Source organism: Homo sapiens, chromosome 5, assembly GCF_000001405.40.
Source record: "Homo sapiens chromosome 5, GRCh38.p14 Primary Assembly".
In the NCBI taxonomy this organism is placed as follows: Eukaryota; Metazoa; Chordata; class Mammalia; order Primates; family Hominidae; genus Homo; species Homo sapiens.
This window is the reverse complement of record NC_000005.10, coordinates 54,270,819-54,298,643: the sequence shown is the minus strand read 5'-3', so window position 1 is coordinate 54,298,643 and position 27,825 is coordinate 54,270,819. Positions and strand designations below refer to the sequence as shown.

The following is a 27,825-nucleotide window of genomic DNA, read 5'->3' as shown; positions in this document are numbered from 1 at the left end:
AGTGGGGAATGAGGAAATGATGCTGCTCCAATGAATGTTTTATGAGACATTCACCAGGAAAGAGAAGAGAAAGGGCTGGAACTGGAGGGGCAGGAAGGTTGGGGGGTGGCTTTCCTTAAATGGGACTAGAGATGGCGCAGTGCTGGTGCAGTAGAACGTGAGGTCATTTTGCCAAGTGTGACTGAAATGTGGTCAGGTAGCGGTTTTAACTGAGGAGGATAGAAGAAGCTGCAGTGAGGACGGAGGGCCGAGGATGACCAGAGACACAGAGGGTTGGTAGTTGTGTCGTGCTGAAGTTGCAGACCGTCTTGGCACACATTTAGATGGTTGTGTGATTTCTTTTTTCTTTCCTTGTGTAGCCTTTGTAGCCATCTAGATGTAGTTTTAAGAAGGTGGGCCGTTAGATTGGTAAGGGTTAGGGTTTTTCCTAATCTAAGGTGAATCCATAGGTAGACAATGGGGTGCGGGAACTTAGTACACTGGTAAGAAAATATTTGAAATTATAGACTGAGATCTGAGTTATAGGAAAGGAAGGAAGGGCACATAGAAAGTAGAAGATTTCTACTTTCTTCTACTTTCTCACGCCTGTAATCCCAGCACTTTGGGAGGCCGAGGCGGGCGGATCACGAGGTCAGGAGATCGAGACCATCCTGGCTAACACGGTGAAACCCCGTCTCTACTAAAAATACAAAAATTAGCCGGGCGTGGCAGCGTGCACCTGTAGTCCCAGCTGCTGGGGAGGCTGAGGCAGGAGGATGGCGTGAACCTGGGAGGTGGAGCTTGCAGTGAGCTGAGATTGTGCCACTGCACTCCAGCCTGGGCGACAGAGCGAGACTCCGTCTCAAAAAAAAAGAAAGTAGAAGATGGAAGGGCCTGGTGGTCTTGATGAGGCTGAACCATAAATGTTGTATGGAGTAACAAGTCAGAAAACTGGAGGGAAAGAAAGTTCAATGTGGTCAGACAATAGGGGTGTGAATTGAAGACTGCAGAGGTCAGAGGTAGACTCTCCAAGGGGAGGGAAAACTAAAAATTATTTCCACAATACTATGCTCCTTATAATTTTAATTAGATAGAAGTCATGATCACAGAGCCCATTTTAGCTTTACTGACAATGCATCCAGATTACTATACAATTGTTCCAGACATAACATAAGAGGGCTAACCTCACAAACTGCCCTAACAAAACAGCCCTAAGCAGGCTGCCCACAACAAAACAAACTCCAGGCTCCAACAACTGCCTGCAACCAGATTTCAGTCCTGTTGGAAAGGCCTTGGCCTGGGCCATCTTCATTAGCTTCTGGACTCAGCACTTCAAACTACCAATTCTCTGCCCCAGGAACCTGAAGCTGGCAGGACTCAATCCCAGGGACCCCTCCAAAGAAATCCAGCCTAGTGATAGATCCAGACAGCAACTGAGTCCCTTGAGGGGGGTCCAGTCTGCCCATTCATCAGGAACTAGAACTCCCCTGGTAGTGCAACCCCTCTTAGTAGAAAAAAATAGGCCGAGAGTCTTACGAATCCAGTAATTGAGCTGTGAGTTTAGTAATCTGAATGAGGACCCTCTGTAGCACAATAAACCTGGGCCTAATCTTCTCCCAACTACCTAAACCAGGGAAATGCTAGATGAAATAGCATCTTTCATATTAAGGTCATCCTTACTGTACACTGCTCTGTGCCTCCTTTCCAATAAGCCCATCTCACACTAGTACCTGCCCTCTCCAGCCTTTCCATACAACCCTCTGCCACAGTGGTGGTGGTGCATTAACTCTGCAGAACTCGTTAGGAAAGAGGGCTTCTCTTCTCCCAACCTTTCACTACCAAAACAGAATTGAGGGTCCTTCCAGGGCCACTGCAGGGCTGCCTCAGACAGTGAGGCCTGTTAGACACTGCACAGAAGTGCCTGGCCAAGGGGGCAAGTGGGGCTGAAATCCAGCCCCTGCTTGGCTTGCCCAGATCCCCATTGTGAACTGGCACAGAGGTGCCTAATGTGCTAGCCATAACCCAGCCTCGGGCCTTTGTTCCTGTCTGTGTTATAGGACAGAGCACATTGTGGCACAGTGCAGGGCTGGGTTGCAGGCCTCTTAATATGCCCAGAACCTGGCACAAGTACACCTGACAGGTGCTGAGTAAATATTTGATTGGACTGAGATGCTGCACATAATAATGGTCAGGGGCAGAGCCAGACTGCCTGCATTTGCATTCTAGCTCTGTGACTTACCTGCTCTGCAGCCTCCGTGCCTGTTTCCTTGTATGCAAAGTGGGTGTAATGATAGTATTAAATACCTACCTCGCAGAATTGAGTTAATGTGTGTATAAAGCATTTAAAAGAGAGCCTAATTCTGTAAGTACTACAAAAGTGTATATAAAACAAGGACTTATGGTACTGTTGTCACCAAAAAGATTTTGCTCCATTTCGATTCATTTTCCCCCTACCAGCCTTCCAAAAATCTCCCTGCCTCTGCCTAATACGCATAGTGTAGGGTAACTGGGTTAAAGACACTTCAACTGCTTGCTGGTGTTTTAAGTGGCAGCTATTTCTGATTCACAGGGTGAAAGGTCCTGGCAGGGAAGAGGGTGGCCCACATCTCTCCTCAGGCCAGTTATGCTTACAGCTGTTACCTAAGTTCGGCCACACGAGCCGACTCAGTAGATGAGTTTTCTGAGGTGCTACTCTGGAATTCTGTGATTGTTTGGAGCCTTCAGTTCCTATTTCATTGGAGTCAAACAATTTGAAAGTCAAGTTTCTGCTTTTGAGAAGCAGAGCATGTGATTTATTGGCCAGCTCTTTTATCCCTTCTTCCTGTATGAATGTTTCCTGAGAGGCAGGGTATGGTAGAGGAAGGAGCATTGGGACGATTTATTGGGTAATGTTGCCGTTCTTGGTCATTTCGAATGTTTCCTGAATGAGGCTGGTTCTCTTTTCAAGTCACTGGGCTAAAGTAGAAAACCTCTTTGGATTATTGGATTTCTCTCTTTGTTTCATTTTGTATAGAAATGTATATTTTATATTGTTCACCAGTAATGTTTTTTTCAGTGTAACATACTTTTTCCTATAATTTTTTGGGATTTCTATGTGTGTTTTAAAGGTTGGGTCATTTAGATGTGATCACGCGATTGCTCCTAGGTTTCCTTTGCATTTCCTGACTCTTTCAGGGTCCCTACTGACCTGGCCTTGGGCTGTGGGTAGCATCACTTTTTGAGCCTGGAGTGCAGCCCCTATTTATTATTTCTGTGGATGTAGGCTGCAATTTTTGTGCATCCTGAGATTCCTGTGCTAGTGATGTTTTAGTTTCATTATGTCATTATTTGGGGAGAATACCTAACTATACTGGGGATCTTTGTTAATACCCATAGGTGACTATTTTCCATTTCATGTCTTCTGAGTTCTTCCTGTTTTATCATAAATAATTATGTGTACTTAATATTCACGTGAAATAGTTTCATAAAATGGACTCAGTAAAAATTTCGATTCCATGTTGAGAAAGATCTTGCATTGCTAATTCTAAAATTCTTCACATCAGATTCTTTGTAAGAGAACACAAGTATAATGAAACAAGTTGCTTAAAAAGTTGAAAAGCTGTGCAAGATGTGATGCATATTTTAATACTTTCTACAAAGGTTGTCTTGAATAAACCATCGTAAAAGTGAGTGATTATTAAACCATGAAGGAGATGAAGAATCAAGAGTTATAGTAAGCTCATTGATGATTCAGTCTTTTCCTCATCTGTCTTAAAGCAGTTCTTTTCTATTTCCCCAAATCCAGAGTGCTTAAGAGTTCATCTGAGGGAAAGATTATTTATCCCAATTGCTTTATATAACTGCAGTGAGTGATATTAAGACAATAAGCAGTAGCAACAGTAACAAATACATATGCTTCTAACACTATGAGTAGTATTTTCCTGTGCATTCAAAATTAACAAGGACTTTTGTTTTATTAAATGATATTTTAATCAGTGTTTATGTGCCTGAAATAAAACATAGTCGCTTTAGGTCCTCAATTTTAATTCTGCTGTGTAGCCCTGTGTTAAAAGATCTTGCAGCAAGACAAGGATCTGTCAGGTTTTAAAGTATTCTATAAGGCTGGATTTCAGGTTAGTTTTGGGAGAAGAAAAGCCCTACCTTCCCTTCTTTCTAATCTCCCTCTTTCCTTTTCTGACCTTCCTTACTCAGCAAATACTTATTGTGAGCTTAATGTTTGGCAGGCATTTGGGCATCCTAAATAATACAGGGATGACCCTTGTAACTACTGAGACGGTAGCCTGTAACACTGAACGTAATATACATATGTCTTTCTTTCAACTACTGAACTCCACCTTAGTAGTTTGAAAGCAGCTGTAGATAATAGATAGGCAGATGGCTGTGGTTGTGTTTCAACAGAACTTTATTGGCAAAACCAGGCAGTGGACTGGATTTTCCCACAGATTGGAATTTGCCAGCCGCTGGGTTAGTAGAATAGGATTTACCTACCTCCTCAAAGAAGAGAGGCAGTATTGCATGATACTTTTCGTTGGCATTGGAGTTTTGGCTTTTGGACTTGGGGAGAACCTTTAAAGAAGAGCAAGACAGTTTGGGAGGCCGAGGCAGGCGGATCACATGAGGTCAGGAGTTCAAGACCAGCCTGGCCAACATGGTGAAACTAAAATACAAAAATTAGCTGGGTGTGGGTGGCACGTGCCTGTAGTCCCAGCTGCTTGGGAGGCTGAGGCAGAATTGCTTGAACCCAGGAGGCGGAGGTTGCAGTGAGCTGAGATCGTGCCACTGCATTCCAGCCTGGCGACAGAGTGAGACTTCGTCTCAAAACAATAAAAAAAAAAAGGATGATATGATGAGTGGCTTTAGTTGTTTGAAGGGCATAAAGTCTTCTATGAATCTGAGCAGGTCATGATCATAGGAAGGCCAGGTATTGGTTCAGGTAAAGAAGAATTCTCTTAAGATTTGTTCATCTTCCTTGAGTAGGAAATGACAGAACAGAAGCTGGGTCCCTGCCTGTTAGGGACATCACAGAAAGGGGTTCATGCACTGAGTGAGAGGTTGGAATAGATGCAAAGTTCCTTTCAACTTTTTCCTTGCTTCTAGGTTGATCCTAATGTATCAGCCAATCTCTCTTCACTTTACTATGAGTTATTTAAGAAAACATTGTGGTATAGGGGAGGAACTAACATGTTTCTTTTCATTTAGGCAGTGGAGTTTTTTCCAACTAATTTTATGCAGAACTATTAAACAAGTGATATTTTACTATATTTGACTTTTTACAAGCCTATATTTATGATATTTACTTACACGTTTATTATTATTATATATTAATCAGTGAGGACAATGAAGCTGTTCTGATGAACACAAAAACTGCCTTTAGACATGGTTGAGAACTGAAGGCTTATCAAATAGTTTATTTGGTTCTGCATTTTGTTCTCTTTTTGGTGTAGCATTGAGGAAAAACAGGATTCCAACAGAATCATAGTTGCAAATGTTACAGATTGGAAAGTAGCTCACTGTGCAATGTTGAGCTGATCTTCAGTGAGAAGGCAGAACATAGGTTTTATCATGAAACTTGATCTTTCCCCCCACCCCAAGTTACTCTGGCAGCATGAGTTATGTGTGGGTGGTGTGTGTTAAAATTTTATATACAGTACATTTGAACATGTTGTTTCTCATTTCAGTCTCTAATTAAAATTCAATTTCTACTTAAAAGTATTTCTTGAATATCCAACTGTCTCTTTGCAACACCGTGTGAGGTTGCAGAGTTGGAAAAGGACTGGCTTAGAATTAGACCTGGGCAGTAGTCTACCTTCTGCCACTTGCTAGCCTCGGGCTAGTATCCTTTTGTTTTTTTAATATGAGAAACAGGCCTGGAAATACCCACGTTGCTCTAATTGTGAGCGCTGAGTGAGACGACAGTATAAAAATACCTAGCGCATAGTAGAACCTTAGTAAATGCCTTTTTTTCCTTCTCTTGTGACTTGTAAGATAAGGCCATCCTTTTAAATTGAATTGTGCGTGGTTCTACTCAATTTCTATAGGTATAGTTACTAGACATTATTCACTATCTTAATGAAACGCTTGAATAGGAACTCTGCCCTCAGAAATGCAAACTGTTCATCTGAAAGGAGTGGGCTTACGAGGGTCTATAGCTCACCTGGTTCATGGGTTGTGATTCTGCCTTCTGGTTTGAGAGTGAAGGGAGGACTTTGGAGAGATCCGCTTGCTGATAACAGGTGGAGGGCAGGAGTTTCAGTGGCTTGCTTATCCACACGACATGTCAGAAACATAGGCAATGACTATACTGCCTTTAGTTGTTAGATTTTTATATCAACCTCCACATATCTGTTCCCTTTAGTCCTTAGCACTAAAACCCATTCATAAAGAAGGGCCAGTGTGCACATCTTTGGAGAAGCAAGAACATCAACAGCAAGGGAGGGAGGGGAGGGCTCCTGCCACTTGGCAGCCAGGCTTTAGGGATGGGGTAAGGAGAAAATCTACAAGACTTAGGAAAAAGTGGTATCCCTTGAAAAAGAAAAGGGAAATAGGGTGAGTCCCTGGGGACAAAAGTAGGTAGATACTACCACCTGAGTTGGGCACAGGGATCCCTGGGACTTACAGAAAACCCCAAGTAGTTCCCTGAGCATATAGATTGGGGCTATTTGTCTTCAGCAAGTATGAGACAGTGGTATAGCTGCTCATAGGAATCTCAGAGGTTGGGGTATCAGATGCTGAAGAGTGGCTCAAAGAAATTGGCTGTGAACCCAAGCCCCAGGGGAGCCCAGTTAAGATTCCGTAGGGTCTGGCAGTTGTGGCTGGGAGTTGGGTTTCTGTTAAGATTACTCTTAAACTATTAAATAGTTTTAAGCAGGAGGTGATAGCACCAGATTTACATGTTGAAAACTTGCTCTGGCTGTTGAATGGAAGATGGATTATACAGGGATCAGATGGGAACTAGTGGGGCCTGTTCAGGAGACTCATCCACATTCCAGTAGTAGATGTGGGCGGCTTGGCTTTGGATTCACTAGGTGTGAGAAAATATCTTCCCTTTGCTAAGCACCTGATGCTTGCTTATTTAATTCAGTAGAGTTAGTAGCTTTAGTATTATTATAGTTAGCCTTCTGTATCTGCGGGTTCTAGATCTGCAGATTCAATGAACTGCAAATTGTAAATATTTGAACAAAAAATATAAAAAATAATACAAAATAAAAAATACAGTCTAATAATTACACAACATTGTCATTGTATTAGGTATAAGTAATCTAGAGATGATGTAAAGTATACAGGTGGATATGTGTAGGTTACATGCAAATATTACAGCATTTCATATAGGAACTTGAGCATCCACAGATTTTAGTATCTGCAGAGGGTCCTGGAGCCAATCCCCCATGGAAACCAAGGATTATCTGTTCTCTTTTCTCATCTGAGGACCACTTATTGAAGTTCAGGGTGGATGAGTTTTCTAAAGTAACTTATTGAATGGTTCAAACCCAGGTTTGTCTAACCTCAAAGCTTACCTTTCTTTTCCCTCCACAGTTAGAAAAACAAGAAGAAAAGTTGAGATTGTCTAATTAATAGGCAAATAGAAATTTTTTTGAACCTTTAAGTGGTTGTTAGACCACGTTCTCCTGTAGTCAGCCTTTTCCTGGCAGTACAATAATTTTTGTAAGTTAATATAGAAGTACTGATTCAGTAAAAGGGGTTGGCCATTTGAATATTTTGAGGACTTTAAATATAGATTTGACAGTGTAGGTATCATGCCCAAAGAAGTGGCTTAAAAAGATAAATTCAAGGAAAGAACCCCTAAACAATGATTTCTAAGGTTTTAGTAGAAGGACAGTGCTGAAAAGTTGTGTTCATTTAATTATATTAAAAACGAATGGGACGTAGGGAATGGAAGATGAATTCATACTCTGGATAATTGAATAAATATAATTTTCCTTATGATTCTAATTAATTTTGCTTCCAAGTGCCTAATGGACAATGCATGGCAAAGTAGATGCCTATCATTATAATAGCATTAAAAATATTAAATATTATTGAATATTAAAATATTGAGTGATGCTGGACACGGTGGCTCATGCCTGTAATCCCAGCACTTTGAGAGGCCAAGGAGGGCGGATCATGAGATCAGGAGATCGAGACCATCCTGGCCAACATGGTGAAACCCCGTCTCTACTAAAAATAGGAAAATTAGCTGGACGTGGTGGCACTCACCTGTAATCCCAAGCTACTCAGGAGGCTGAGGCAGGAGAATCGCTTGAACCCAGGAGGTGGGCAGAGGTTGCAGCGAGCCGAGATCGTGCCACTGCCCTCCAGCCTCATGACAGAGTGAGACTCTACCTCAAAAAAAAAAAAAAAAAGGTTGAGTGATAGTTGATATAATCTTATATAATGTAGACTAAAACTTCTTCAGTTTAAACATGTCGCATTGCCAATCTGGACAATATTGTGAGGCCTGGCTAAAAAATGGATGTTGTTTATTGTTTTGCATCAGTTGCTGGCTCTGTTGAGACAGAGTGGTAAGAGAGAAACTTGGATTTGGAATGTTTACTCCTTTGGGGAATCTCAGAGTTACCATTCTGGGTTACAGTATTTGCAGTAAGAAGTCACAGGAGTTAGTCCTGGTAATGCAGGTGACAGCAGGCGGAGACACCAAGAGTACAGACAAGGCCTGAATGCAAGGCATCTGTAGAAGCTGATGGCAGACTGCAGCCCCTGGGGCTTCCTGGTGTGTGGGGCCCCATTATGCAAATGCTTAGAGGAAGTTGTGTGCCTGGAACATAGCAGATATTCAATTAAAATATACATTATATGTCAATTACAAAATATATAAAACAAAATACAAATCTGAAGCTTACTGTATTTCCTTTTATAACTCATTGAATCCTCTTAGTACCCAATGAAATAGGTACTACTATGATCCTCATTTTACAAATGACAAATTAAGATGCACAGAGGTTAAGCAACTTGCCCAAGCTCCTACAAATAGTAAGTTGTATGGCTGGGATTTGATTCCAGAAAGTCTTAACACTGAAAGCTGTTAGATTTGCTCTTAATGTCTCCCAGAACTGCTTCTCAATAAATATTTGTGGATTATTGAATTGAGTGTCTAATGCTGTGACTTTTTACGGTAGAAATACTGTGTTTGCCTATGCAAGGGGTTTGGGAAGCAAAGCTGTTGAAAGCTTTTTTGGCATCTCTTTTATTGTCTATAATATTGTTAGAATGACCACGTCTGCTCTTAAAAATAGCAGTACCGGAAATCCACCCTCTCCTGCACATTCTCTCTTTTTTTTTTTTTTCTTCATAGGACTTGTCACCATCTAAGTTGATTTTATTTGTTGTTTTGTGTGCCACTACCACTGGAGTGTAGGCTCCATAAGAGCAGGGACTTTGCTCTCACTGTTCCGTCCCCAGCATGGGACATGGCTGGGCACAAAATGTGTGGTCAATGCAAATATGAAATTGTTTAATTAATGAAGAGAATTAATACAAAGTTCATTGGTGCTTCAGCTTGGGCATCTAAAATCCTTGAGCCTTTCAAAGGAATTGCCGATCTATGCTACACTTGCCACCCTGGGGCATCAGTGGTTTAGGGAGTTACAATGCCTGGGCTGAGTTCTTCTAGTTGTTAATGACGTATGGAAAATTCTTTTGCTTGAAGTTAATGAGACAGGCCTCTTACTTCCTTGCAAAATATGCTGTAGGCTTTCCAGAATCCCGTGTGCTCTTGCAAGTCTCATCTACTCCTTACAAATCTGAATTTGATAGGTTTCTGCCATGCATGAGAAGCTGGTGCCTATATTCAGTTTTTATTGCCCATATGCCTTATTGTAGGTACTTGTATTGAGGGAAAAACCTTATATGTCCAGGTAGGCTACAGAGTCAAAGAGGCTTGTCCAAAGTGTTATTTGTAGTAGGTGAGTGACACTGCATCTGCGTGTTTTTCTTTTTTATTGGCCTTTGGTAGTCAGACTTTTATGATTTGTTGAATTATAAAATACATGTAAACTGTAAACCTGCTTTACTCAGTTTGTTTGACTTCATTTGCACTTGCTCATAATGATTGAGTTTGGCCCCCACGTCCAAAAGACTTGAGTTCAAATTGTGGTTCTGTCACATTCTCTCAACCACTGTATCAATTAGGACTGGAATTGGTTGGAATATAGTGGCTTTGACAGTTTCATTTTTTGCTCAGGCAAGTAAGTCCAGAAGTCATTAGGGCCCCAAGAAGCTTCTGCCCACTATATGTAGACTTTAAGCTTATGGTCCAAAATTAGTGCCAGAGCTCCTGCCATCACTTCTGCATTCCAGATAGCTGGATGGTGAAAGGGCAGAAGAAGAGTGTGCTTCCCTCCTGGAAGACTTGTAAGACTTACTAATTATATCTCATTTACTAGAATTTGATCATGCTGCCATTCCTAGCTGCAAGAAACTGAGGAATATAGTTTTTTAACTAAGAAACAGACTTGTCTGCAACTGCACTCAGCCATTCTTCACATACTGATTTCTCTCTGGGTCTACTTCTCCTGGGGTTATTAGCAGGGTTGTTATTCTCCTCTGCTTTGTGTAGCTTTTCTTTTTTGTATAGTTTCTTGTTATTCATACTAGTAGCTTTGTAAATTTAGATTGCTGTGATTCTTCATGGTTATGAAGTTATTTAATAGCTTTGCTTTTTGTATTCCCTCAGTTTTATTTTGCACTATGAACTGCTTCATCTTTTCAGTATTTTTCAACTCAAATTTGGGAGAAAAAGAATATGATTAGGTTAGCCTGGCCCTTCCTGCTAGGCCACACCATGGTTGTTGGTCAGCTACTAAGGCTAAACTGCCTGCTAGTTCAATCAGCTGTGGCATCTTGCTTGTGGGCCTTTGCATCTAAAAGGGTGGGGAGGCAAAACAGACTCTATGATGTGACCATGCTAAGTCCCTGACAAATGGAAATTCCTTTGGCAGGGAGTTAGAGATAAGTCTTAAAATGAGGATGTTTTGTATATTCATATGAATGCATTTTAATTAGTATGTAGATTGTCAGTTAATAGTTATCAATAATTGATATCGGACTGAGAAGCAATTATTTGCAAAGACTAGGAAGGTGTCTAGGGCATGCATTAGCAGCCCTCAGATGCTTGCGCATTATGGGATGTTTCTTGCTTTCACTTTTATCTGGAATGCCGTTTTCTTCTGTGCTCCTTTGAACTTGGATACCTCTCAATCTTTTGAGACTCAAAATTCAGGAGATGCTTCCAAGTCTTTCCTGACATGCCTATAAGAATGACTTTGATGCCTCTACTCTGTTTCCCTAAAGCCCATTGTGCATACCCCTGATTGTGCTGAACACATTTACATTGCACTTGTCTGGCACAGGTATGTTTAATTACCGCTTTCTCCTGAACTGGAAGATCACTGATGCTAGGGTTTGGTCTTCTTTATGTTTCTATACTTAACACTTACCTAGAAGTGCTTGCCACATTAAGGATGCTCTGGGCCAGGTACAGTGGCTCATTCCTGCAATCCCAGCACTTTGGCAGGCCGAGGTGGGAGGATCACTGGAGCCCAGGAGTTTGAGACCAACCTGGCCAACATAGTGAGAACTCATCTCTACAAAAAAATAAACAAAATTAGCTGGGTATGGTGGCGTGCGCCTGTAGTCCTAGCTATTTGGGAGGCTGAGGTGGGAGGATTGCTTGAGGCAATCCTGGACAGGAGGTCCAGGCAGCAGTGAGCCAAGACTGCGCCACTGCACTCCAACCTGAGTGACACAGTAAGACCCTGTCTCATTAAAAAAAAAAAAAAAAAGCCCTGCAAATGTTTTTTTCGTTTTCTTTCTTTGAACTGAGTTTTAAAATTCCCAGTGCCTGGTCAAAAGTGAAGGAATAAATCCTCCAAGATAAGTGGTACTCATTATTTTACTCTAAGTTAGAAGGGGATTTCTCTCCCTCCATACTTTTTAATCAGAATTTTCAGAACGAGAACTATTCTTACCTTCACCATTTCAGCCAAAATCTGCCTGGATATTACGTGTGATTTTTAGTGATGTTTTATAGAAGATGGGCTAACATTTTGCTGGATGAAATCTGTAACTTCTGATATGATGATTTATGCTTTCATTTGGTTATTTTTGCTAGATGACTTTTCAAATCTCAGGTTATTTCTGCTAGATGGCTTTTCAAATCTTTGTGATTGAATTTCACAGAGATCATGTGCTAATCATGATGATTGTTATTTTTTAATAGGGAGAGGGTTGATTCCTTTTTGAATACTGATTGAACTCTTACATATTCCATCCATGGACATTGGTAGATTGCTTGGAAGTATAGATGCTCTTGGCGTGCTGTTGGCACTGTTACCACTGAAAACATTTTTAGAAAATGTTGAGAGGCCAATTTTATTAGCTTTGCTTTAGATTGCAAATGTTTCTCTTTGGGTAGATTATCATCATCCTTTCTCCTAATTTGAAGAAGCTATAAAATATATGCTGAGGAGCAAAATGCTCTACATTTTGTAAACAAATCCTAATTTTATTTTGTAATTAGTTAAAAAAAAAACTTACTTTTTTCCCATTTGGGGAAAATTACTTTCAAGTGTACTAAGGGAGTTGTGAAATAATGCACTGTTAATGTTTTCAGTGACAATACTAACAGAAGGAGATGCCAGTTCTGAAGTAGGTGGCATTCCCAAGTGTTTATTTCCACTCTGGAGGAGTGACTAAAGCATAATTGACAGACGCGACCTTTACTCAGAAAGGATTCGACCCACGCGGCACTTTAGCGTTCCCATGTACCTTGGAACGGGTCGTCACTCTCTGTATCCTCCATTTATTGCATCTTTGCCTTCAGCCCATTTGTCTGCTATTGAGAGGAAATGCTGGATCTTTGTTAACCTTATTTGGAAATAGAGGACCCAAGCTAGGGCCTCATTCGAAGGGGTTTTACTGCTCCCGTATGCCCTTTCTTGTTTTACCAGTTTTAACATACTGCTTGCAGGACTCTGAAGAACTGGCTTGGCTGTTTTAACTTTTTAATTTTCATCAAGCAGAATTATAGAGGAGAAGATAATATAACTGTCATCTTGCTTTGTATCAGGATGAGGGATTGCACAGGACATCAAAATTAGAACTGTCAATTATGTTAAGTATAAAAAATAGCTCTCTAAAAGAATATTGTGTTTATTAGCCCTCTGATGGAACTCAAATTATACCTTGATACCATTTTTTGGACTGTATAGTAAATAACGTTTATTTTCTGCCATCTTGTTGAAGTTTTGTTTTCTCCTTTATTTTCATGCTTACCTTTGAAATTTCTTAGGGAAAACAACAATAAACTGTAAGTAATCACATTAATTTCAAATTTAGTATTCTTTTTCTGTCTTAGGCATTCTTTTTCTATAGACCTCTCTTAAACAGATTGTAACCAATCTGTCTTGTTTTTGACATCTTTTTTGCTGTTTTATTAGATGAGGCAGCAAAGAAGATGAGATTCATCTTTGAAATAATATTCTTTAGTTCTTCCTCAGGGAAGTCTAGATGTAGATTTATGAATATTACTGTAGAGGCTACCGGGTCAGAGTTTATCTGAGATAGAAACTCATTCTTTTATTGGAAATAGTTAACTACTTATCCTTCATTCCAAGTTATGCCTTATGTCTCATGGGTTTACAGTTAAAATAGTTTCTTGCAAATATAGCATCTATATAGGGAAATAATATAATTATTTAAAATTTATTACCAGTTCATATACTGTGATCAAAGGAAGTTTGGTTATGTTTTTAAATATATGTATCCGACTCCTAGTAATTAGAGGGAAGAGGCCATTGTTGAGAATATTATTGTTAGAATGAATTTACAAGCTGGGGCAATAGACATGCCACCTGGCCTGAGGTCGGATGTTCAAGGATAAGGCAGTATTTGTAAGGATTAGAGATTAGAGAGAATGAGGTAATATGGTTAGTCAGAAAAAAAGTTACACAAAATAAATTGAGGGTTTTCAGGGTAATAATTTTAGCAATCCCAACAACAATACTTGTACATTTTGAGAATATGAAAAGGAGTGGAAAGTAGGTTTTTAGTAACTAAAGAGTAAATATTTCTCCCTCCTTAAAAGATAAAGCTCATAAAAAGAGTTAATTCTCTCATGATAGGTGCTAGAGCCCTTTCATATGGCACTGGGAATACCTACTTTTTAAAAACAAACGTTGCTCTGTACTGGTTAGGATTAGGTTAGGCTGTGAGAGACACACAACAATTTTTAAACAAGTTAGAGGGCTGGGTGTGATGGCTCATGCCTATAATCCCAGCATTTTGGGAGGCCGAGGGAGGTGGATTACTTGAGCTCAGGAGTTCGAGACCAGCCTGGGAAACATGGCAAAACCCTGTCTCTACAAAGAAATTAAAATATTTGCTGGGCATGGTGGCATGCTCCTGTAATCCCAGCTACTTGGGAGGCTCAGGTGGGAGGATCACTTGAGCCCAGGATATTGAGGATACAGTAATTCCAGATTGCACCACTGTACTCCAGCCTGGGCAACCAAGTGAGACCCTGTCTCAGAAAACAAAAAGTTACAGGTTGATTTCTATTTCATGTACAAAGTCTGGAAGAGGAGGGAATGGCAACTCTGCTGTCATTTGCATCTTTGGGTTCTCTTATCTGTATGGTCTACTTCATGTGTCCACTGTTCTCATTGTGCCGTCACAACCCAAGATTGTCACTGGAGCTACATTAAGTCTCCGTTACAGCCTGGAAAAGAAGTAGGAAAGGCAGAAGAGCAAAAAAGGGCTCTTCTCAGAGTCAGTTCCCTTTAAGCACCTTTCAGTTACATCTCATTTTGGAGAACTTAGTCACAGGACAACACTTAACCCCAAGAAAGGCTGGTAAATCTTTTATTCCAGGTGGCATAAAATAAGAGTTATCTTTCAGTTGGGGAAGATAACTTTTCCAGCTTACTCAGAGAGTTGTTCAGTCATTCACTATTATGTTACAAAGGTACAACTTGGGGTAATTTCCAAAGGTAGATGGGAAGAATGATCTTGGACAAGGCAATGAGCGTTCTTAGTCTTGGGCTCTGAGGATGCCAGGGCATGGCCCCTGGTTTGTTTTCAGTAGTGTATTTCATTCAAAATAAACCCAATAATGTTACAGTCATGATAGTAATAACTTAATAATAGATGTGATCATGATCCCCAGTATGAAATTATCAGCCATTTGTTTTGAACAATAGCACCGTTGATATTTGAAAGTTTAGATTGAGTTTAAGTACTTCACTCAACAGAGTGTCCTAAGAGTTTGATTTTCCATTGCTGTAATTTTTATTTTTAATGTCCACGCATATAGCCTTTGGCTTTCCAATCTTTTATTTACCAAATTCCTTCAATCATACAGAATTCAGTTTCTTGTGGATATTGTCTAAAGGGGCAAGAGCCTTTGGCAGAATGGGTCTGATGCGACTTCTTGGTCTTCCTCAAGGACTGCATCTCTGGAAGCCTTTTGGCTACCACAGAAAGCCAGGGATCCTATGTCTTTGCCTCCTTGCCACAATGGATAAAACCGTGATTGCTGAGATTTATGACATTATAAACTTTAGGGAGAAGCTTTAACTTGTCAACAATAAACCATAATAACAGTGTTCGACTGTATAAAGTTAGGGTTATTTTGACTACATGCTAATTTAATGTGCTAAAAATATTTCTCCAGCTAAAGAAAGGAAAAGAAACCAGTAGTCATGTTTGGTATGCATGGTTTTGTGAGTGGGCATGTGTTTTAGGAATCTGAATTTGATTTGGGAGTTAGAAGTTGTGAATTCTAAGTTGAGTACTGCCATTGATATTCTGAGACCAAGGATCTCAGTCTTCTGTCAAAATTTAGCCCATTCATAACTTTCAGCATTTAACTATGAGCATTTCCCTTTTATAGAGATTTTTTTCTATCCATTATAAGGATTATAGACTTTTATGATCTAATAAGAATTGAACTGAAAAAGAATGCTTAAAAAGCTACTTATAGCAGCCAAATATTTATTATTAAAATGGGATATTAGAGCAAGATTTGAAAGAAGTAAAATTAAACCATTACAATAAGTTACACTCCTTAAATGATGCTCTTGTATTAGAGGACAAAGTATCTGCCTTACAGTCCCAAGATAAAGCCACATGCCCCAGACTTTATTATCCCTGTCTTTGAGCTAGCCTAGAAAACAGACGGAAGAAATTCAGCCACTTCCTCATAAAACAGATGTTGGAATACAGCAGATTTTCTTTAAAGAGGGAAACAAGAGCAAGGGGAATGAAGACAGTTCTTTGGTACAAACATTTCTTATTCTCTTATTCTTATTTTAATCTTATAGAGAATGTCTGAATGCATCCAGATCTCATTTGCTGTTTGTAGAATTGGGATTTACACGGTAAGCAATGTATATTTTTGTGGTACCACATGTTGTGAAAAATAAGTGAAGACCCTAGTGTTGGAAATCATGTGGAGTGATGGCAATTATCCTCTACTGCTGATGGGGGTATAAATATATACAACCACTTTAGAAAGCAATAAAGCTGAACATGAGCATATCTTGTGACTGAGTAATTCTACTCCTAGGTATATAGCTCAGAGAAATTGTTGTGTAATTACCAGAAGACCTGTGTAGGAAAGGTTCCTAGTAGAAATATTCATAAAAGCAAAATGTTAGATGCAATACGAATGTCCATCAATAATAGATTGGATTAAACAATTATGGAGTTTTAATTTAACGGATTACAATACAGCAGCAAAAATATATGAAAAAATGATTGTGTGAATTACAGCTTGTAATAATACACCGTGGATGTATCTCACAAACAATGTTGAATGTAAGAAACAAGTCACGGGAAAATACATGGAGTACAATTTCATTTCTATGGAGTTCAAATACAGTAGAACTAAGCAATACATTGTTTTAGGGTTACATATGTTGATATACTATAAATAAAAGCAAAAATTCATATTGTGATTACCTCTAGGGCAGTAGTTCTCAACAAGGGGTGACTTTGCCCTCCAGGGGATATATGGAAGTGTTTGGAGACGTTTCCGGTTGTCACAACTGGTGGTGATGGTGGTGATATGCTACTGTCATCTTATGGGTTGAGGCCAGGGGTATTGCTAAGCATCCAAAATGTTCTGGTTAAGAATTATCTGCCCAAAATGTCAATAGCGTGAGGTTGAGAAACTGTTCTAAAGCAGTGGAGGGAAGAAAAAGTGCTTTAAAAGTTATAGTAGGCCAGGCCTGGTGGCTCACGCCTGTAATCCCAGCACTTAAGGCAGATCACCTGAGGTCAGGAGTTTGAGACCAGCCTGGCCAATGTGGTGAAACCCTGTCTCTACCAAAAATACAAGAATTAGCTGGGCGTGGTGGCGGGCGCCTGTAATCCCAGCTACTTGGGAGGCTGAGGCAGGAGAATCGCTTGAACCCAGGAAGTGGAGGTTGCAGTGAGCCGAGATCGTACCACTGCACTCCAGCTTGGGTGACAAGAGCGAAACTCGGTCTCAAAAACAAAAAAAAGTTATAGTAATATTCTGGGTTTTAACTTGAATGGTGAGCGCACAGTGTTTTTTTATGTTATTCTTTAAACTACATATTTACTTTATATACTTTTTGTATGTAAATATTTCACAATACAACAACAACAAAAATGAATATTTTAAGATGTTTGAGGTTTTTTTTTTTTTTCCACCAGCCTGTGTCAGTTGACCCAAATGCCTTGAGCTCATTTCTTAACTTGGGATTTTGGAGATGTATCTATGTAGATGAGCATGAAGGACTTTTCTAATCAGATTAAGTGATAAAATGTCTTGACATTTTCCCTTTAGAGGCCTAGGGTGGGGATTTGGAGACTCTAGATGGAAATATAGTGATACTTACTTTTAAAGACCAAATTATTTTCTAAGTAAGGACTTAAAAATATTTACATGAAGTAATCTTGTTTACTCATCTGCTTCGTACAGAAGAACATATGTATGTGTGTACAAAATGCTTAAGGAATTTGTTTAAAATGAATGATGTAAAAATTCTGAATAAAAGATAGGAGTGCAGCTTGTAAGTTCCTTGAGGGCAGGGAGTCTATCTTGTGTTTGTCTTTATAGCCTTTACAATACCTTGCACAACGTCTGGTACTTGGCAAATGCTCCATAGCTGTATGCCCAATTATATTAAGTTATAGTGAGAATAATTTTCTGTTTTGCCTTTATTTGAATGTAAGAAAAAGCAGATTTTCTTTATTTCTTCTATCACCTTTTGCTTTAGCTGTCTCAGATGAGTATTTGTCCCCGGTTAGATGAACAGGTTACTTGAAAGCTAAACATGTTTTTTAGTTATTTTAAGTGAAGTTAATTCCTGAGTCTGTTTTCCCAGATCCTCTGAGAAGCAGTTGCCAAGCTGGGATTTGAATGCAAGTTGGGGAATGTCTATGAAGTGGAAAGAGGGAGGAAACCACAAAAGGTAGAGAGAGCCTTCAGACCATGCTGTAGGTCTGACATCTGTGAAGGAAGAGTGGGAAGGAAGGAGGGATGGGGAAGAATTTTACAATGCCATGTATTCCTGAGAAGTCTTGGCTGGATGGATGGGGCTTCCCTAAGCAAAGTTGCCTGTTGCTGGAGTTTCGCACTGGGCAACAACAGCAGTGATTCCAGTACCTCTGCACACTTGGGCGCTGGCTCGCAGCCCAGTAGAAACACAATTTCTGCACGAATGCCATGGTAGACCTGAAGCTGTGGCAGCAAGAGGCCGGCAGTTAGTTGTGCTTCTCCAGAAAGGGAGCTCTGACTGGCATATTTCCATGGCTGCTGCAGTAAGCCAGCACAATAAGGTATTTCCATCTAGAACTTGGGAATATTGGAACTGCTGATATCAGAAATTGTATGTATTCCTCTTTGAATACCTAGCACTGAGCCTGGGCCTGAGACCTAACAGGTGTTCAGTCTCTGTCCCTGCTTATTTAATGAAGAAAGGCTGGTCATGGATTCATTCCAAGGCAGATAAAAATCGGCCCTAAAAGGAGAGAGTGTGATGATCTTAATTGTGTCCCACACAAAACTCATGTGTTGAAGCCCTGACTCCGAATGTGATGATGTTTGGGGATGGGGCCTTTGGGAGATAATTAGGTTTAGATGAGGTCATGAGGGTGGGGCCCTCCTGATGGGATTAGCACTCTTATAAGAAGAGACACCGAAGGGCTTGCTTTCTCTCTCTCTCTGTCTGCCATGTGAGGACATAAGAAGGTGGACATCTTTAAGCCAGGAAGAGATCCCTCAACAGAAACTGACCATGCCGGCACCCTGATCTGGGACTTCCAGGCTCTAGACCTGTGAGAAAATAAATTTCTGTTGTTTAAGCCACCCAGTCTAAGGTATTTTGTTTTGGCAGATTAACACAGGGAGGAGAAAAAAAAAATTCTTGTAAATTGCAGATAACATAAACCAGAAAAAAAAAAACAAAAACAAACTCTTATTAGCTCCTGTTGCAAAGAAATGCTGAGTTATGAGTAAAACAAAAAGTAGAAGAGGAAACCTAAAAAGATTATGGGTTAGCTTTTGGGATGAGAAATAGTGTTAGATTGTTGAGCTGAGTTGTTTTTTTTGGTGCTTTTAATGTTACTGCCAAATAGCAGTGAGTTAAAATACTTAGAAGTTAAGGAGCAAAAAGCCTTATATTTTACATATTAGGAATCCATATCTGAAGTGAGCAAGACCAAATTGGAACATATATAGGACAGAAAGCTTCCTAGGTTAAGTGTGTGATATACAGGTAAATGTATGCCTCCATTAAAAGGTTTAATAAAGATCATTACTCAGAGACAACAAAGGGTATCCAGTGCATGCCGTCCACCTTTCCCACTGAGGTTTGGAGTAGACAGACCTTTCTCCAGACCCTGAAAAGCAGTGATGCTTATTTAAAGGGCCTTAACTCAGGAAGATGTGGCAGGAAACTTAAGGTATAGGTAGAAAAACTTAGACATTATCAGTGGTGGAGATATGAAGGCTTCCAAAGCCCAGAACAAATTGAGACAGAGGGAAGCAGATAAAAAACAAACAAACAAACAAAACAATCTTTAAAACCAAGCATCTGGTCCAAGGAGATAACTCCACTTCCTATGAGTACAGCACAGGAGATAGTGTTATTCTAATGTAATGTAGGGATGTATCACAAAGAAGTAATTTAGTTTCTGAAACAAAAGGAGTCCTGTTATATGGATCTGTTTTGGATCTTAAGCAACATTCATTTGGTTCTGTTCAGGAGGAAGGAGGGGACGTAAATTTAGGCCAAGAGTTTATAGTACAATTGTGGTTCTATGATTTTATGAAATCCTGGCAGTGAAAACAGGCCATGCTTAAGAATGTGATCTTGAAGTGAACCTTCTACCATCAGGCATGGTTGAGCTCCAGGCCAGAGAGGCACACAAGGGCATTGCTTTGGAATGCTCTTAGGAATGTCAGGGTAAGCATTTTCCAAAGGTGTTGTGCTGAGACTTCCCTGCGTTGGGAACTATAATAACACCATCATGGAGCCAGAAGCACAATGGTGGGCAATTAGCTGGTGCTGACAAGAAGCAGGTTAAGGGAGCAGTGATAATTTTAGCTTCTAGTGACCTTCCTGTGGGTTGTGGACCCTTTTGGCCAACATTGAACGGCCCAGATGAATGAAGCTAGGGCCAGTGAATCTTGCCCTTCTCCAGGAATGGTACTGTTTGAAGCATACGGAAGCCACAGGGGTGACTGTTTGGTTTTCTGTACCCAACAGCTGCGTAAAACTGAAACAAGTGATGGAGATTTGAACTAAATAATACCAGGGGAATGTCCTGCATGGTTACAGATTTTGGTTATCAAGAAGAGCTTTAAAAACTCTTTAAATTCTTCTTTGGCCTTTGCAGAAATTATTCTTTTCTCTTTTTTTTTTTGAGACGAAGTCTCACTCTGTCACCCAGCCTGGAGTGCAGTGGCACGATCTCGGCTCACTGCAAGCTCTGCCTCCCGGGTTCACGCCATTCTCCTGCCTCAGCCTCCCGAGTAGCTGGGACTACAGGCGCCCGCCACCACGCCCGGCTAATTTTTTTGTATTTTTAGTAGAGACGTGGTTTCACCATGTTAGCTAGGATGGTCTCAATCTCCTGACCTCGTGATCCGCCCGCCTCGGCCTCCCAAAGTGCTGGGATTACAGGCATGAGCCACCATGCCCGGCCTGCAGAAATTATTGAACGCGTTTTACTAGCAGAGAAAGCATTCATCCTTCAAAACAATAGCAGTAAAAATGGCATTCAATTTCATCTTGAGATGAAGAGTCATTTGCTAGTGGGTAGAAATCATCCTTTTATCTAGTTACAAGATTTGCTTGTACCTACTTATATTCAATTTCTGTGACTTCTTTTTCTTTTTTGCGGGGGGAGGGAGGCAGGGAGAGCTACCTTTGTGATTACAGTAAAAAGGCAAAACAATTGTATGTTACTATTGGTATTACTACTGATAATATTAGTAACAATATTATTAATAAGATTATATATTATTAAAATTGCTTATTTTCATTTAGCTCTTTAGGTCTGGACAAATCCTACCCTAATTCAATTGGGTTATTACAATATACAGTGCTACATGTAAGGACACTGTATTTCCTATGGATGCTGTAACAAATTATCACAAACTTTGTGGCTTAAAACAACATAGATTCTCTTGTAATTCTGGAGGTCAGAAGCCTGAAGTGGGTTTCACTGGCCTAAAATCAAGGTGTTGGCAGAGCTGTGTTCTTTCTGGACGTTCTGGGTAGGAATCCATTTTTTGCCCCTTTGTGCTTCTAGCAGCTATCTGTATTCCTCAGCTCATGGCCCCTTCTGGCAATGGCATACTTCTAGCTTTTGCTTCCATTATCACATCTCCTCTATGACTCTGACACTCATGTCTCCCTCTTTATAAGGACGCTTGTGATGAAGTTGGGCCTACATGAATAATCCAGAAGAATCTCCCCATCTCATGATCCTTAATCATATCTGCAAAGTTCCTTTTGCCATGTAAGATAACATATTCACAGTTTCCTGGGATTAGGAAATGAACGTGTTGGGTTGTGATGGTAATTGACTCTATGGGAGACATTATTCTGCCTACCATAAGCACCTTAGTACGATCTTAGGCCTTAGTACAATCTGTCCTCTTCTAGAGAAAAAAGAAAACCAGTGTAGCCTAGTCCTAATGCTGGGTGTAGAATGTTGTCATCATATATAAAACCAAGGTTAAAAATTTGTCAGATAGATCGGAAGTCTTGCACTCTGCAAATACTGGTTCTAGCAACAAATTAAAGAGCAGATTTAATATATGACCATTTGGAGAAGAGTGGTATTAACTGTACCTGTTTATTATGCCCCTTGGAGATTCCAACATAAGCATTTATTGTCAACTGTGTGGGATGCTGAGATGTCTGCAGTCATTATAAAGGAATGCAAAACTCTAAAACAAAGTGAGACACACCTTAATTACATAAATTCTGCATAATCACACATTTTAATGATTTGAGTGGAAATGAATTAAGGTGTTGGCTTGGCTGTTTTTATAAAGACCAAAATAATAGTAGCTTAAGCAGAATAAGTTTCTCATATAAAAATCCAAGCTGGCCAGGCATGATGGTGTGTGCCAGTAGTCTCAGCTACTCAGGAGGCTGAGCCCAGGAGTTCAAGTCCAGCCTGGGCAACATAGCAAGAATCTGTCTCTCTTTGGGAGGCCGAGGTGGGCGGATCACGAGGTCAGGAGATCGAGACCATCCTGGCTAACATGGTGAAACCCCATCTCTACAAAAATACAAAAAAAAAAAAAAAATTAGCCAGGCGTGGTGGCGGGTGCCTGTAGTCCCAGCTACTCGGGAGGCTGAGGCAGGAGAATAGCGTGAACCGGGGAGGCAGAGCTTGCAGTAAGCCGAGATTGCACCCCTGCACTCCAGTCTGGGTGACAGAGTGAGACTGTGTCTCAAAAAAAAAAATAAATAAAATAATAATAATATAAAATTTTAAATTTAAGCCAGTAGTCACTTTGGAATCTAGCTCTTTGCTTCATGAGTCAGGCGCTCAGGCTCTTTCTAGCTTGTTGTTCTTCCATTGCCTCAGTGCTTCTGCTCATGTGCAGGCTGCAGGAGGTTCACCACTCCCGTATGTTTGTTTATTCTGTGGGAAAGGGAAAGTGGAGGCCAAGTAGTTTCCTTCTGGGGGCATGATCTGGAAATCACAGACATCACTTGCCCTCACATCCCAGTTGCCAGAACTTAAGGTACGTGATGATACCTGACTACCAAAGAAGCTTGGAAAGGTGAACTCTAGTAAGCCTCCAAGACTCTAGGGGTTCTACTCCTAAGGGGGCATATAGAATGGATATTGGGGACAATCAGTCATCTTTTTCACAAGTACATGAGCTAAGGCAGTTTGATCTGAGATTAAGCCAACAGACGGTGCAGTGTACCTCAAAGACAGTGTGTAGGCAGAGAATCAGTGTTGCCCGTAGCCATTGTCAGGCACACACTGAATGAGCACATAGTGTGGCAGCAAGACTGGTTTTGTGTTGTGTGGCAAATCCAGCTTCAGCTTCTGATTGGATTGATAATTGAGACTCTATGGGCCAAGATTGAATCTAGTGTTTTCTTTATGATATCAATATAGTTTATGTATTTTTGCCCATAGGCACATAAGCACACAGAGTTGTTCCTGGCAGTTTTATTTCTGTGGGTAGAAGTGAGGGGTTATGTGTTTTATAACCTAGGAAATGAGAGTTTATAAAGGTTTTTTTTGAGACAGAATCTTGCTCTGTCATCCAGACTGGAGTGTAGTGGCGCAATCTGGGCTCACTGCAACCCCTGCCTCCCGGGTTCAAGCAGTTCTCTTGCCTCAGCCTCCTGAGTAGCTGGGATTACAGGTGTGTGCCACCATGCCTGTATTTTTGTATTTTTAGCAGAGTCGGGGTTTCACCATGTTGGTCAGGCTGGTCTTGAACTCCTGACCTCATGATCCACCCGCCTCAGTCTCCCAAAGTGCTGGGATTACAGGCATGAGCCGCCGAGCCTGACCTAAATGTTTTCTTTCTTACCTTTAGTAAGCAAAATAATGTTCTCAATTAGAGTGAGAACATCTGGCTAGCATACCACCTTTCTGGCAGGGGAATTTACAATTTTAGGTTTAATGAACCTATTGAGAGCCACAAATGTCCCTCCTAATTTCTATTTTTACAGTAAAATAGTTACACTGTGAAATACATAAGATTGATAGGACTGCTGTATTTTTCTTTATCATGTTTTGAAATTAGAGTCCAGGCAAGAACAAGATAAAATCTGTTTGCTTTAGGTGTTTTATTCTGGGGAATGCAGAATGTATCCTTTTCTCTCAAGATCAGGACTTCTCTGCCACATGCCTTTGTGAGTCCAGCACAAGTCCCCTTGGGTGGCCCTTCTGGTTGAGTCTGACCCAGCGTCAGCCGACTCTCTTGCTGCCCCTAAACCTGCTCATGCCCTGGGCTCCTTTTTCTCAGTGACTGGCACCACAGCCCGTTCAGCTGCCAAGCCAGGAACTAGACTCAATCTACAGCACTCCCCTGCCTCACGATCCTAGCAGTCCTCAAGTTTGATCTCTTCTACCCTAGTTGCCTCACCTCTCTGTCATTACCTGGATTCCAATGCCAGCATTCCTTGCTTAGAAAGACCTAACGGCCTCCTTTGAACTCTAGAGCCTTTCATCAGCCAAAGTGCATCTATTGCACTATCTTAGAATTGCCTGGTCATTTTTCTGTAACTCACATCTCACTGTAAGCACAGTGAGGACGTGACGATGTTAGTCTCTCTGTTCCCCTCCCCCAGCATCTGGTGGCTCTTCACCATCATCATGGTCATGATCACCACTGACATTTACCGAGCACTTATTAAGTGTTGAGCAGTGTCTGTGCTAAGGCTTTTATAGATGAACTCATTGAACTCGGTATAATCTTTTGAAGAAGGTACTGTAATATTACTATCCTCATTTTACTGAGAGGAGACCAGGACATGGCATGGTTAGATGTCTTTTCCATCTGGTAGAGATAGGATTTTGAGGCAGAATTTGATACATTCTTAGCCACCACACACTGCCGTTATCCAGACAGTAGGTATTCAATATGAATTTATTGAATTTAATCTGGAATAATTTCTCAACTTTTTTTTGTCTTTTAGTCCTTGACATTTTTGAAGAGGCCAGGCCAGTTATTTTGCAGAATTTCTTTCAGTTTAGATTTGTCTAATTGTTTCTTCGTGATTAGGTTAAGATTAAACATTTTGGACAGGAATATTCCATAGGTGACACTGTATCCTTCTCAGTGCATCTCAGCAGGAGCACAGGGTGCCAGTTTATCCCATCATTGGTGTTGCTTTTTTAAGTTCATAATTAACCTAAATTTCAGAGGCTGGTAATTTCTGGCTTTACCCCAAATTCATGGACTGTACCCTATTTAGAGCCTACTATATCTCTTATTTTTCACTACACAATCTATTTTTTATTGTATCTTTATAGCATATTTAGAGGTAGATATGGGACTATGTAAGTTTAGTACGGTTTGCTGAACTTTGGAATGTTTTTATAATCATAATATTTTGATCAAGATGGAACCTTAGAATTTTCCTCTCATTTGGATTAGAATGTTAATTCTATACTAGGTAGTTCTTGTGGCTAGACTGTTGCACTTTTGAAGGCAGATTTAAGAGTTCCACTTTCATGTGGTCCAGCCAGCTTTCTTCTGTGTCTCAGAGGTCTCCTTACTCTGCTAGCTGCCTTTACTTTTAGGGATTAATGGTATGGAATAGTGGCTATAATTGCAAGCATATTAATTACCACAAGTGGAAAATAAGTTCTAATTATGTATTCTATATTAACTTCATATAGGAAAAAACAATTTTTACCTTCTGACTGTAGATGTTATAATGATAATTTTAAAAGGCACCACAGAAGAGGGAGTGGGAAATTGTTTAGCTACATGAGGATCATCCTTTACAAAGGGCCATTGTGAGGTTTCTTTTGGTAATTATAAATTGTAGCTATGTGTTTAGGTGGAGAGGCTTTTTTTCTTGATAAGAAACATTTGGGGTTATTTAACTTAGGAACTTAAAATACTTTGAATTTTGCAACTTAAGTGACATGGTGACCCTTGATTTTCACCAAGAGTATATCTGATTGATGGAAATTTCCACCCTAGGAATTGTACATTTTTGTGCACTTTCTTTTCATGGATGGTCGACTTTGTTTTCTTGACAAACATGTAGTGTTTTATCCTCAGAACTAGTACTTTTTTCTTGATAGGAAGAATAATTTGTTTTGTCAATGATTAAAAATTATCCTAGAACGCAGTCACTGCCAAGGATGTGGTTTACTCATATCCGTAGTTTGGGAACAAAATTATGTTTCAAACTGTAAGGTTGGACATGCTGGCTCCTGCTTGTAATCTCAGAACTTTGGGAAGCCAAGGCAGGAGGATCGCTTTAAGGCCAGGAGTTTGAGACCAGCCTGGGGAACATAACAAAACCTAGTCTTCAAAAAAAAAAAAAAAAAAAAAAAAAAAGCCAGGAGTGGTGGCACACACCTATAGGCCTAGCTATTCAGGAAGCTGAGACAGAAGGATCTCTTGAGCCCAGGAGTTTGAGGCTGCACCAAGTTATGATTACACCACTGCATTCCAGCCGGAGCAACAGAGAAAGGCCCTGTGTCTTAAAAAAACCAATTTAAATAAATAAATAAATAAATAAATAAATAAATAAATAAATGTTAAGCACAGCCAATAGATTAATATTACATAGGCAGAGGAGAATCTGCTTGACCCTGGTGATGATTTGGTCTTTGCTTTGTAGAACATAAACTTATTTAAACAGTGACTTAATGTATTATATAAGGTGAATCTGAATGAGAGGTTTTATGCTTATTGTATACTGTGGAGGACCAGTCTGCATCCTCTCTATTCTTTTGGGTTTAGCTAATGTTCTGGCACGTAGTAAGTACTTCCTGGCTCTCTGTTGACTAAGTTAGCATATTAGAGTTCTCCAGAGAGAATAAAAAGGATATATATATGGTCAGTAGATTCCATATCCATGAATTCAACTAACCACCATTGAAAATATTTGAAAACAAATTTGCATTCGTACCCAACATGTATAGATATTTTTCCTTGTCATTCCCTAAACAGTATTTCCCAAACAATGTAACTATTTACATAGCATTTGTATTGTATCAGATACTCTAAGTTATCTAGAGATGATTTAAAGTATGTAGGAGGATGTGCATAGGTTATATGCAAATACGATACCATTTTATATCTAGATTTGAGAATCTGTGGATTTTGATACCTGAAGGAGGTCCTGGAACCAATTCCCCTTGGATACTGAGGGACAACTGTACAACTGTTTAGATCTATAAGAGGGGATTTATTAGGGGAATTAGCTTATGTGATTATAGAGTCTGAGAAGTTCCACAACAGGCCATCTGCAAGCTGGAGACCATGGGATGCTGGTAGTGTGGCTCAGTTCAAGTCCCCAAGGCCTCAGAACCAGGAAAGCCAATGTTGTAACTTTCAGTCCAAGGCTGAAGGCCAGGCAACCCGGGGAGCCACTGATGTAAACCTTGGAGTCCAAAGGCCTGGGACCCTGGAGTTCTGTTGTCCAAGGCAGGGGATGAGTGTATTCCAGATCCTGGAGATAGAATGACACATTCACCTTTTTCCTGTTTCTTTACTGTCTTCACCACCATCCACCAGACTGGATGGTGCCTGCCCACATTGAGGGTGGATCTTCCCCACCTAGTCCGCTCAGACTCACATGCCAATCTCCTCTGGAAACATCATCCCAGACACATTCCAAA

The 27,825-nt window shown here is 40.3% G+C and overlaps 1 protein-coding gene across 10 annotated transcripts in view, besides 1 other annotated feature; it reads left to right on the top strand.

The window, feature by feature from the left end:
• The window catches only part of ARL15 (ARF like GTPase 15), a 426,632-nt gene that overhangs the window by 11,930 nt on the left and 386,877 nt on the right, over positions 1–27,825 (top strand). For 4 of the 10 annotated variants that reach the window (XM_011543500.3, XM_047417335.1, XM_047417336.1 and 1 more), the window contains one exon: positions 16,317–16,373. The exons of 5 other annotated variants lie outside the window; for them this stretch is intronic. In XM_011543500.3, the coding sequence (XP_011541802.1) occupies positions 16,317–16,373 (57 nt within the window). Of the gene's footprint in view, positions 1–13,285; positions 13,304–16,316; positions 16,374–27,825 lie in introns of all 10 variants that reach the window. One more of the 10 variants, XM_017009598.2, reaches the window with a different exon arrangement.
• Positions 1,445–1,945: an enhancer, noted in NCBI's record as "H3K4me1 hESC enhancer chr5:53592529-53593029 (GRCh37/hg19 assembly coordinates)". NCBI's record gives its function as "activates a minimal SCP1, AML or CMV promoter by ChIP-STARR-seq in naive H9 embryonic stem cells {active_cell/tissue: H9 hESC(naive)}" and the evidence as "EXISTENCE:reporter gene assay evidence [ECO:0000049][PMID:30033119]".